The sequence below is a fragment of the Homo sapiens genome, chromosome 4 (assembly GCF_000001405.40).
Source record: "Homo sapiens chromosome 4, GRCh38.p14 Primary Assembly".
NCBI lineage: Eukaryota > Metazoa > Chordata > Mammalia > Primates > Hominidae > Homo > Homo sapiens.
Window position 1 is genome coordinate 25,794,326 of NC_000004.12, and position 13,034 is coordinate 25,807,359.

A 13,034-nucleotide genomic window follows, 5' to 3' on the forward strand; every position below is an offset into this window, starting at 1 on the left:
AGAAAAAAAACCAAACAACTTCATTTAAAAGTGGGCAAAGGACATGAACAGACACTTCTCAAAAGAAGACATTTATGCAGGCAACAAATGTAGGGGAAAAAAAGCTCAACATCCCTGATCATTAGAGAAATGCAAATCAAAACCACAATGAGATACCATCTCATGCCAGGTAGATAGTGGTGAGTTAGAATTCAGATCATGCCAGTCAGAATGGCGATTATTAACAAGTCAAGAAGCAACAGATGCTGGTGAGGCTGTGGAGAGATAGGAATACTTTTACACTGTTGGTGGGAAGGTAAATTAGTTCAACCATTGTGGAAGACAGTGTGACGATTCCCCAAAGACCTAGAACCAGAAATAACATTTGACCCAGCAATCCCATTACCGGGTATATATCCAAAGGAATATAAATCATTCTATTACAAAGATACATGTGTGCATATGTTCACTGTAGCAATAGCAAAGACATGGAATCAACCCAAATGCCCATCAGTGATAGACTGGATAAAGAAAATGTGGTACATATACACCATGAAATACTATGCAGCCACAAAAAGGAATGAGATCATGTCCTCTGAAGGGACATGGATGGAGTTGGAAGCCATAATCCTCAGTAAACTAACACAGGAACAGAAAACCAAACACTGCATCTTCTCACTTGTAAGTGGGAGATGAACAATGAGAATACATGGACACAGGGAGGGGAAAAACACACACTGGGGCCTCTTGGGGGGTGGGGGGGAGGGAGAAGATCAGGAAAAATAGTGAATGTATGCTGGCTTAATACTTAGATGATGAGTTGATAGGTGCAGCAAACCACCATGGCACACGTTTACCTATGTAACAACCTTCACGTCCTGCACCTGTACCCCGGAACATAAAATATAATATTTCTTTTAAAAGAAGATTGTTTGTGAAAGAGCTTAGCAAAGTGCCTGGGTCATGGCACACTCTCAGTAAATGACAACTCATCATTTTTTAGGGCCTTAACTCATACTAAAGTGTAAATGGCTAATTGCTGTTTAGAACGTTAACCCTATTGGTATTTGCAGTTTAGTACAACTCAAAGCCTTAGGTTGTGGGGATGAAGATCTAAGAGAATTTTATGCTTTAGAAAACAGAAGGACTAGAACTGGGGGAGGGTGTGTTGGGGCCAGAAACAATTTAGGGAGCTCATCCTGTGTGCTTGGCTGTACTGGATTGACTTATCTGTGCTGTAACAACATGACAGGTGCAGACCATCATGGCTCCCATGTTACGGGTGAGAAACACACAGAGGTAAGCAGAATGATCCTAGAGTCCACAGCCAGTGAGTAGCAGACCCAGGACCTGGACCCAGGCAAATCTGGCCCTGGAGCCACCACACGCTGCCTGCCACACCCAGGTGGGGGTTGCCTTCTCCATAGTTCTGGGGTCACTACAATAGCAACCAGCATCACATCATGGTCACATTCCTGAGGCCTTCTGTGAAAGCAGACCACCTATTAACACAAAGACTTCGGAGGCAGGAATGACCTTTAAAAGGAAAGTGTTCAGTTGTCCATTCATTCAAACAGTTTTGTGGGCAGGAAAAGCCGGGAAGAAGCTGTGGACTGGGAGAAAAAAAAAAAAATCACTGGGCGGGTGTGTGGGGTAGGGGCAGAGCTGGTGGACACTGGCAGGAACCAAGCGTCCCAGCCTGACCAGTTCTGGGATCCTCCATGGCATCTGGGTTTTCATTGTTGTTATTGTTGCCGTTTTATAAAATCCACATCTCTAGAATGAGCAGCTCAGAAGTTTGTATCTTAATACTGCTGAGCAAGTCACAGGAGGCCCAGTGTCTGGAGACAAAGCAATCCTCAGACCACCCAGGACCAAGCCCCAGAGAAGGCTCCACACTGTCCCGGGGATGCTGACATGCCTTTCATTCCAGTCAGCCTGCAGGCCACAGAGGGCGGTGCTCACAACATGTCCTGTCTGTGTGTCATCAACTTCAGGAAAGCTGAAGGCTGGGGCGCAGTGGCTCACGCCTGTAATCCTAGCAGTTTGGGAGGCTGAGGCAGGCATATCACTTGAGCCGAGAAGTTTGACACCAGCCTGGGCAACATAGCAAAACCCTGTCTCAAATTAAAGAAAAAAAAAATATGTGTGTGTGTGTGTGTAAAATTTTAAAAAATAAAATAAAGAAAACCTTAATCAATACAGTAAGTGTGGCCAGGTGCTCATGCCTATAATCCCAGCACTTTGGGAGGCCAAGGTGGGCAGATCGCTTGAGGTCAGGAGTTCGAGGCTAGCCTGGCCAACATGGTGAAACCCCATCTCTACTAAAAATGCCCAAAATTAGCCAGGCATGGTGGCTCACTTGTAGTCCCAGCTACTTGGAAGGCTGAGGTATGAGCCCGGGAGGTGGAGGTTGCAGTGAGCCGAGATCACACCACTGCACTCCAGAGGGACTCTATCTCGAAAAAAACAAAACAAAACAAAAAAACAAAAACAAAACACAGTAAGGTTTTGTGTTTGTTGGAAAATATTTCCTTTCTAAGTCCAACAGAGCATAAAGACAGAAAAAAAAAAAAGAAGAAAGGTAAGATCTGGGACAGTGACGCGGGAAGGACAGGGAATGGAAGAGAGGTAATGAAAGAAAGAAGAAAGAGGGAGAGAGAAGAAGGGGTAGGAAGAGGAAAGAGAGAGGAAGAGAGGAAAAGGAGAGAGGAAAAGACAGGGGGAATAGACAGGTAGTGGAGAGAGAAAGAGGAGAGGGAGGAGAAAGAGAAAGGAAGAGAAGAAAGAAAGGAAGTGGAAAAGAGAGAAAGAGAAGGAGGGAGAGAGGAAGGGGAGCAGGTGAGGGTGAGAGAGGGAGAGAGAGAAAGGAAGGAAGAAAGGAAGACCAAAAAAAAAAAACCCTCTAGTTGTTGCAGCTGAGGAGCGAAGCCTCTCGGCAGCCCCACATTTTCCAGGAGCCTCTGCCTTCTGCCAGCACCCCTGGGAACTCAGGAGCAGGCTCAGCTGGAGGAACAGGCAGTTGTGGAGCCTGCACTTCAACCGCTCACCTCAGGGCCTGGCAGAACCGCCACGAGGAACTTGCCTCTTAGCGTGTTTAAAATCAGCTATAATGTTAGGCTCCCAGTAGGAGTGCGTGTGTTTTCTTTGTAGAAATTTAACACTTTAGGGACTTGTAAGTCGGAAGGGGAAACATCAGCTGTAAGGGTGGAGAGACAGGGAAGCAAACTGCCAAGATTCCCCAAATATGGGTGTCACATACGATGGTGGTGCTGCATGCAAGAGAGGCAGGGGCTCATGGCAAGGGCTCTGGGTACCTGCCATCAAGAACGAAACACGGGTCCCCTCGAAAAGCACCAGCATCAAGACACTGCAGTTGACTTTCTGTTCATCACTGGGTAACCTCTGCACCCACTTCTAGCCATCTTTCCATCAGTAAACACTGAGCGCCAACTATGTGTCAGGCAGAGTGCTGGGCCCCGGGACACAGAGGTGAACAGATGACGTCCTTGCCTCAGGCAGCTCATAGTCTACTGGGGAGCCAGCTCTGTCACCCTGCACACAACACCCAGTGCAGGAGCAATGGGAGAGATGTGCCTAGATGTGACGGTGGCACAGCAAGGAGAGACCCAGGAAGGCTTCCAGAGGGGGTGACATCTGAGCAAGAAAGAATCAAAGTGGGAAGTCAGAGGGGAAGTGGGAGGGGCATGGAGAAAGCAAACCAGTAAGCAGACAGGCAAGGTCAGGAGGTGGGAACAGCCAGGCCTGGCCAAAAGTTTGGTGTTGCGAGTTTGGTTGGGGAGGTAGCAAGGAACCAGATCGAAGAACGTCTCATACGGCATCCGATGAGCTAGACTTATTCTTCTGGGTGAGTACTGCTCAACCCTGGCTGCAGGGTACAATCCCCTGAGGACTGTATTTTGTTGTTGTTGTTGTTGCTGCCATTTTATAGAATCAACATCTCTAGAATGGGCAGCTCAGAAGTTCATCTCTGATACTGCAGAGTTAAAGCCTGCTGAACAGCAGGCTTATTTTAAAATATACACATACACGTACACATGTATCTGCATATCACATGTATGTGCCTAGGCCACACCCCACATCACTTTCATGAGACCCTCCATGGTGGATTCCGTGCAGAGATGTTCTGTAAGCCCCCAGGTGATTCCAGTGTGCAGTGGTGAACTTGGCCTGAGGGAGAGGATGGGAAGGCACAAGACTGGTGACAGAAAGACCAGGACGGCTGGGCGAGGTGGCTCACACCTGTAATCCCAGCACTTTGGGAGGCCAAGGTAGGCGGATCACCTGAAGTCAGGAATTCAAGACCAGCCTGGCCAACATGGTGAAATCCCGTCTTCCCTAAAAATACAAAAATTAGCCGGGCGTGGTGGCACATGCCTGTAGTCCCAGCTACTCGGGAGGCTGAGGCAGGAGGATCACTTGAACCCAGGAGGTGGAGGTTGCAGTGAGCTGAGATCGTGCCACTGCACTCCAGCCTGGGTGATAAGAGTGAGACTCTGTTTCAAAAAAAGAAAAAAGAAAGAAAGAAAGACCGGGGAGGAGGGGGTCTCCATCTGCTAGGGCTGCCATAACAAAGATCCACAGCCTAGGTGACTCAGAAATTTTCTGATAGTCCTAGAGGCCGGAAGTTCCTAATGAAGGTGTTGGAAGGCTTGATGTCTTCTGAGACCCCCCTCCTTGGCTTGCAGATGGCTGTCATCTTTCTGCATCCTCATGTGGTCATCCGTCTGTGTTGCCTGTGTCCTACTCTGTTTGTTGTTGTTGTTTGAGACAGAGTCTTGCTCTGTAGCCCAGGCTGGAGTGCAGTGGCATGATCTCAGCTCACTACAGCCTCCGCCTCCTAGGTTCAAGTGACTCTCGTGCCTCAGCCTCCCAAGTAGCTGGGATGACAGATGCGCACCACCATGCCTGGCTAGTTTTTGCATTTTTAGTAGAGATGGGGTCTCACTATGTTGCCCAGACTGGTCTTAAACTCCTGACCTCAAGTGATCTGCCTGCCTCCTCCTCCCAAAGTGCTGGTATTACCGGGGTGACCTACCATACCTGGCCTCTAATCTCTTTTTATAGGGACACCAGTCCTACTGGATTAGAGGTCTACCTTAACAGCCTCATTTCAACTTAATCAACTCTTCAGAGATCTGATTTCCGAGTATAGTTCCATTCTGAGGTACTGGGAATTGGAACCTCAACATACGGATTTTGGCAAGACACAATTCAGCCCATCAGCTGTTGTAGGAGCTCAGAGGGGAGACGATGAGCAACAAATTCAGGCAGCAGCAGGGGTGCACGTGGGGAGGAGAGAAAAAGTGGTATGGAAAGCTGTTGGGGGTTGTTGACTGGTGGGATGATGGAGGATCCAAGATGACTCCCCAGGTTCTAGCATGAACAATCGTGCCATCTGCTGAGGTGTTTGCAGGGAATGGAGATGAGGAGGGATGTGTTTCTTTTGCAGTATGTGACAATGACGGCAGATGGGGATTTGTAAGAAAACAGTCAGAGATTAAGGTCTGAGTATTATCATATGCGGAGTGCAGCTGAAACCAGAGGTGTAGATGAGATCTCTGTCCAGAAAATGTAGAGAGAGAACAGAATATTGGCAACCAAACCTGGAGGAAGAGCAGCTTTTGAGGAGTGGGCAGAATGCGAGGACTAATCATTTGTAATTAAGCTGCAGAAACAAACAGAAGTACTAGCCATCTTCTTTCTGTCTATCCTGAAGCAGAGTCCTACTAAAGCATAAAGAAAGCGATGTGAAGGGAGAGCACTAATAAAGATGAAATGATGTGAACCACGAGTTACGCAAAAGAGAGAATGAAACAAGAATCAAGAAAGCAGTTATTGATGGGTCCTTGGTTTGTTAATTAGAGGTCTGGCTTTCTCTGTCTTCTCATTTACTACATTACGCTGGTGAATTAATAGATTTCTCAACAAAAGGACATTTAAATCAACATATGACACCTGTTTAAATTCTTAAGAAGCCATTAATTACCCATTCTTAAGAAAATGAGCTATGACACAACTCTTCTAACTGTATAATTCCTATCTGTGATTCTTAATCAGGTGACTTTTCAGCTGCAAGACGGATCTTTTCTATTCATCTCCTCTGGTTCTGACCAATTAAATGTTTTCTTTCGCAATCATAACATTTCATATGCCAAATCTTCAAAAGAAAAGGAGCTTGTTAGCAACATATCATTTCCTGTTGCTAATTTATGCTGAATTTGAATTCTTAAAAGTATAACATATACATGTAGAACATTATTAACACATCCAGGCTTAGTTAAAAAAAATAGTTTTTTTTGGCTTGGCTTTGTGCAAATTTTTTTAGAACAATTCTTTTTTTAAAAAAAACTTTACCAATTAATAAATCTATTCCTGTAAATTGAGGTTAAATTATACAGACAGAAAATACATGTATAAATTATAAGGGTGTGTAAGTTTGTTCAGAAGGAATCATTATTTTCAAAAGGAATTAGAATGCCTACATAGACAGCCTTTTGGTGTTTTATAGCTTGACTCATGTTCAACATTTACTGACAGCATATCTTCAAGTCATTTACTTCATAGCCACCCAGTAGCCACTCTAGATTTCTTTTCCAGAAACCAACCATTCCCAAACATCAAAGCTTGAATTTTCTGCATTGAGGATTTCTGAGCCCAATCCAGGGGCAGAGCTGGGAACCAGGGGTCTGGTTCCCAGTCAGCCACGCAGCCTAAAATTCAACAATCCTAACCTGGCTAGGCCTGTCTCTCAGAGCTGCTCACTAAGCAGGGGCAAATCAAGTTTATGGCACTTGCCAGGCACAGTGGCTCACGCCTATAATCCCAGCACTTTGGGAGGGTGAGGCATGCAGATCACCTGAGGTCAGGAGTTCAAGACCAGCCTGGCCAACATGGCGAAACCCTGTCTCTACTGAAAATAAAAAAATTAGCTGGGCATGGTGGCACACGCCTGTAATCCCAGCAACTCAGGAGGCTGAGGCATGAGAATCGCTTGAACCCAGGAGATGGAGGTTGCAGTGAGCCAAGATTGCGCCACTGCCTTCCAGCCTGGTGGACAGAGTGAGACTCTGTCTCAAAAAAAACCAACAACTTATAAGAAGCAACCACTTTATTGTCTACCACCATTCGATGCAGATCTGTATCAAGAGGCAGCTTTCTTTTATTCTTACACTATCACCTTTTAGTTGGACCCTATTACTCCCTGTCCTCTGAAAGAAGTCTGGAAGCAAACCATCAGTTGGTGTAATGTAATACATTATGGTCTTTTGGGAGATGTGAGTCACTGATTTTTTTGTCCAATGAATCAATAATATCTGGGAGCCTGCAAAATTGGGGGCTGGAGTTAGTGTCCCTCATCTAGTCCTTCATCTGGGATAGGGTGGAGTCTTCAATCATCACACCCTGTTGTCAGTCACCTGGGAGCACTGGTGTAGCAAGGCTCATGGCATGGGGACAGACATTTCTCAAGCACCCAGCAGGGGGAACATAGCTGGGTAGGAAGCTTGCCTGTGTCCATTGTAGACATTGCTTGCTCATCACACATTGAAAGGAGCCCTTACAGCTTCCTGCCTCCACTGAATTTGACCCAGTCCCACCTAACATCTCCAGACCTCACCATCTCATAGGGTATTGGCACAAAGACAAGATGCCTATGTTTCTGGTAGGTACACACTTTTTTGCAAAATCAAAATCTGCCCAAGGCCAAGTTGACTCTTCACATACCAGTCCTCTCACAAATGAAAAGCTTTTCATGCATAAATGTAGGGCTGCCCCTGCATTCAGCCTGAGAACACAGCCAGGTAATAGGAAATGGAGAGCGCAAGACAGCTCCTCTCTCCATTTGATTATGTTCAACCTCTGAAGGCCAACTACAAAAGCAACCACAGGGGCAGACACTTCATGAAAGCAGGTAAACAGGGCCATAACCATTCCCAACCTTTTTTCTCTCTCATACCTGATCTCCTTGCAGTGTGTGCTGGTCAAGGGGTGTCTTGGTGGCAATGTTGCTGTAGTAGGCATACGACAGTTCCCAGTCCAGGGGGTAGTTGTCAATACCCTGGTAGTGTTTATACCCAAGATTCATTGAAGACAGCCTCTCACTCCCCTGGCCTCCAACCAAACTATACAACATGCCCTGTTAGGAAGAAATTGACAAAGCGTTCATGAGATTGTAGATAGGGTCATAAAATCCTAACACTGAAAGGTTGTCAGGCCCAATTCCTATATACAATCCTAGCCATTCCAGAAATATGTTAACTTGCCTTTTTTTTTGAGACGGAGCCTTGGCCTGTCGCCCAGGCTGGAGTGCAGTGGCACACTCTTGGCTCACTGCAAGCTCCGCCTCCCAGGTTCAAGTGATTCTCCTGCCTCAGCCTCCGGAGTAGCTGGGACTACAGGCGTGCACCACAATGCCCAGCTAATTTTTTATGTTTTTAGTAGAGATGGGATTTCACCGTGTTAGCCAGGATGGTCTCGATCTCCTGACCTCATGATCTACCCGCCTCGGTTTCTCAAAGTGCTGGGATTTAACTTGCCTTTTTAAAAAAATAATAAAATGAAATGGGAAAAAAGCCAATCTAGCTTTCTATTGGTTTACAAATTTCCAGCTAGCTGCCCTTCCTAATGTCAAATAGCTTAAAATGCCCTGACTTTTGCCTCTTCCTGGTACAAACGGGGATCTTTCATGACTTCTATTGCAGCACCTTTTTGGGCACCAGCCAACCATCCTAAGTCCCCTGTTCTGTTTCAGTGACATCATCGATGGACACGGGGTCTGGATGGCGGGCCCATGTCCCATCCTCACACTCTCAGAATGTTTGTGCTGGAAGGGTCTTTGGAGATTGACTGGTCTGACCACCTCATCTCACAGTTGGGAAAAGAGAGGCCCAGAAAGGGGAAGTCGATTGTCCATGGTCAACCAGCCACTTCGTGGCAGAGATGGGACTAGGCTGTTTTCATTATTCCACCCTTGTGGGGACTGCTTCCGGGACTCAGGAAAACATGCTGTCATTCAGGAGCATCTGTAAGCCAGAGGCATCATAAGCAAATAACTGGAAGGGAACATGGAACCATTTGGGCACATCTCAACAGTCTGAGCCTCCCCAAACCACGCATACACAATCACCTATGCAAATTTGAAAACGAAAAGCAATCAGGGAACATTTAGCAGTGCTTATTGCGATGGTTCATTTGGTGTGTCAACTCTACTGTGCCATCGGGTACCCAGATGAAACATCATTTCTGGATGTGTCTGTGAGAGTGTTTCCAGATGAGATGAATATTTGAACTGGTGAGGTAAGCTACACAGACGGCCTTCTCCACTGTGAATGGGCATCATCCAATCTCTTGAGGGCCTCAATAGGACAAAAAGGCAGAGGAAAGAGAAATTGGTCCCTTTTTGCTTTCTGCCTGCCTGCCTGCTTGAGGCAGGAAGACATCAGGGTTTTTTATATGTTTTTTTTTTTGTTGTTGTTTTGGTTTTTTTCCTGCCCTTGGACTGGAATTTATGGCCTCATCTCTCCTGATTCTCAGGCCTTCAGGCTTAGACTGGAATTACACTATTGGCTTTCCTGGCCCTCAGCTTGCAGACGGCAGACTGTGGGACCTCTCAGCCTCCATAATTGCATGAGCCAATTCTTTGTAAGAAACCTCTTCCTATATATATCTAATCCCATTGGTTCTGTTTCACTGGAGAACCCTGACTAATGCACTATGAAAATGTAATTCTAAATGTTAGACTAGTTGCATAATAAATTTGGATTCAAAACCAGAAATGAAGCCGTCTGGTATGGCGTTTATTTTGATGACAGACTGCTGGATGCAGCAATACTTTGCTTCAAGGTCCAAGTGACTTCACTTAGCTAAAAAGTGATGTGGGATAATGGTCTCACAGGCAGAGTAATTACAAGAATTTGGTAAGGAGCACCTGTTCTTGAAGAACTGGTGTTCTGGCAAGCACTGACACTGTTCCTTAGCTGGTACACCAATCATCCCCCCAAGGCCTGTCTAGAAATGGATGAAGTGCCCTTTTTCACTCACTGAAAGCAAAGGATCCTGTATTTAACACAGCCCCAGGACATTTATCTTGAGTGTAAAGATTTTTAAAGGTCTCCAAGGAGCTGCAACATGTCCAGTTCTACCAGGGGCACGAGAGCATTGCTTTGCAAATATAATGCAAGTGACTGATGTTAATGGAGCAATGAAATACTCTACCTGCAGCTGATCCCGAGGAACATTTAATCCAGTCTCATAAAAGACTGCAAGGTAGTAGGATGCTTTATGGTATCCACAGCAGCTGGAATCCGTCAGAAAGGGGACGATAGAGCTAATTTGGTGAAGACCATCAATGCTAGAGAGTCTCTTTACAGCCTTCTCAAATATCTTCCCACCGATTTCTGATACAGATTCATTTTGGTTCCTTGGCACTGTAAATAACACAATTCAGAGCACACACAATTAATTACCATGGGATCGATGTGGCTTTAGAAAAAGAGGAAAAGCCAATTAAATCACCTGAGTTATTGATATGGTCGGTCCTGCAGTGCCTCAAAATATACCACCTTCCAGGGAGGTAAATGAAACCCTTTGGGGATGCCATGGTGTCATTCTGTAAATAGCTTTTTCTTTGGCACTATATGACAGCCTAGTATCCTGGGGAAATGATGTGCTGTATGTAGCTTAGAAATCGCCTCAAGAGAGTAATTTACTCAGTGTAACTCATCACCAAATCAGGACCACTGAAACTTCCAGAGGGACCTTTTCCCCCTCTAAGACTCCCTAAAGAAGAATGTGTTTTATCTCACAAACAGTTCTTAGGTACTGCTCTAAAAAGTTGAGCAAAAGAACCTTAGTTTTAGATGCTTTCTAGACATCTTTTGTCCCCAGTTTTTCTCATGGGTCTCCAAATAAAAAGAATGAGTCAACTTTTATTGAGAGCTTACAACATGCCAAGTACTGGGTTAAGTGTCTTATGTAAATTATGTCATTTAATTGGTACACTTTTATAAGGTCGGTACTATTTTCAGCATCCCCATTTTTTACACGAAGAGACTGAGGCCTGGAGAAGAATAACTTGTCTAAAGTTACAAAGGCTGGCAAGAGGCAGAGCCAAGCAGTGAGCCCTGCTTCAAAGGTCACTAAAGCCAGAGTTCACAGTCACCCTGATGCACGTACCCTCAATGAAAAGTCAATCAGTTGCCTTAATAAGTACTTTACCACGCGGATAGAGACTTGTTTACACAACTGCTTTAAGCTATATGATGCTTCCTTTTACATAATTCTCCCATGAATCTATAAGCTGATCATCATTTAAGCCCAAACAAGCAAGTTTTATGGCCCTAGATGTACTGTTAGAGTCTTCTAAAGTCTATCTTTGTTATTCATATCTCTTGTTAATTCAGCCAACGAATGTTTACTTTCCATTATGTGCAAGGCACTATGCTAGATGCTGTGTTACAAAAGGCCATATAGGATTGCAAAGATACTATTTACATTTAACTTAAGACTTAACTTTTAACTTAAGACTTACATTTAACTTAGGATGTGAGTTAAATGTAAATGTACATGTAAATAACGTTGATGTAAATGTTAAGTTAAATGTCAACTTGACTAAAATTTCACCTGCCTAAAAACTATGTCCAACATGATGTTTCTTTTTTTCTTCATTCCGTGAAAAATTAAAATGTTGTGGGTTTTTTTTGTTTTGTTTTGTTTGTTTTTTTTTTTTTTTGAGATGGAGTCTTGCTCTGTCGCCCAGGCTGGAGTGCAGTGGCGCGATCTCGGTTCACTGCAAGCTCCGCCTCCTGGGTTCACGCCATTCCCCTTCCTCAGCCTCCCGAGTAGCTGGGACTACAGGCGCCCGCCAGCACGCCCGGCTAATTTTTTGTATTTTAGTAGAGAGAGGGTTTCACCGTGTTAGCCAGGATGGTCTGGATTTCCTGACGTCGTGATCCGCCCGCCTAGGCCTCCCAAAGTGCTGGGATTACAGGCTTGAGCCACCGCGCCCGGCAAAATGTTTTTTTTTTTAAAGCTCAGGAGGCAACGAGAGAGACTCACTCTTATCAGCCCTTCATCAGGATTGAACACAGAAGAGTATCCAATGTGGGAAGGCTGGGGATGGGTTTATTTAAGGGCAATTTCCTTGCAGAGGTCCATGCTAAAAATGGAAGTTGAGATCAGAAGGACCCACAGATGAAATTGTGAATGCTGACACGTTGTCAATGAGCGGGAACTGGTGCCTGGGGGTACATGGGTGGGTTGGGTGTCCCTGAGATGGGGACACTGTGCCTGTGCTGGCAGACCCTGAGCTGTGGGGAAGGATGCAGCCACCACCTCCACCAGCTCTAAGGCATCCTCCAGTTACTAGCTTCTGGAACTCTTCCCTGCCTACCTCCTGGTTCTGCTTTTGCTTTTTTGATCCCAAGTACCTGGCACAGGAGGTGCTGAAAACATTCACTTTACTGAACGAATGGAGTTTGTTCCTTTTTCTGTATTTTTTTTAAACTCCCCAGAGAAATAACAGCTTGTCGTAAAAAAAAAAAAAATTCAAACAATGCAGATTTGTATAAAATAAAAACAGAAATCCCATCTCCCTCAATCTTTCTTTAATAACGAAGATTAAAAACTATTAAAAGCGTGGTATGTAGGCTTTGGCACTCTTCCTTCGTATATACAATAATTCGTATCCAAATCTATTTACATATCTACATACACATTTTCTTTACCAAAATGGCGTATTATGCCATTGTAGAGTCTGACTCTCGACTTTCTTTTTTAAATTAACTACACATTATGAATAACTCTCTGGGGCTGTCAGAAGCTCATTCTTTCTAATGCTTCAATAGTATTGCATTCCGTAGCTGTACCATTTTCCCTACCAGGCCTCTATTTTTAGACTCCTGTGTTGTTTCCAGTGGTTTTGCTATAACCAACAACGTGGCATTGAACATCCTCGAACATTTCCACTTCCCTCTGCTAATCTGTTAGGATGACATCTGCATGATAACACCCCTTTTCACCAGCAGCCTGCGGAA

The 13,034-nt window shown here is 44.9% G+C and overlaps 1 protein-coding gene across 9 annotated transcripts in view, besides 1 other annotated feature; it reads right to left on the reverse strand.

Annotated features, from left to right (window-relative positions):
* SEL1L3 (SEL1L family member 3) overlaps positions 1-13,034 on the reverse strand; it is a 149,603-nt gene that overhangs the window by 80,362 nt on the left and 56,207 nt on the right. For all 9 annotated transcript variants that reach the window (XR_007096387.1, XR_007096388.1, XR_001741182.3 and 6 more), the window contains exons 10-11: positions 10,216-10,427; positions 7,958-8,137 (exon numbers count right to left, since the gene is read on the reverse strand). Coding sequence is in view for 5 of the 9 variants with exons in the window: in NM_001297592.2 (NP_001284521.1) it covers positions 7,958-8,137; positions 10,216-10,427 (392 nt within the window). In the remaining 4 variants the exon portion in view is untranslated. The remainder of the gene's footprint in view (positions 1-7,957; positions 8,138-10,215; positions 10,428-13,034) is intronic.
* Positions 855-1,626: an enhancer, noted in NCBI's record as "H3K27ac-H3K4me1 hESC enhancer chr4:25796802-25797573 (GRCh37/hg19 assembly coordinates)". NCBI's record gives its function as "activates a minimal SCP1, AML or CMV promoter by ChIP-STARR-seq in naive H9 embryonic stem cells {active_cell/tissue: H9 hESC(naive)}" and the evidence as "EXISTENCE:reporter gene assay evidence [ECO:0000049][PMID:30033119]".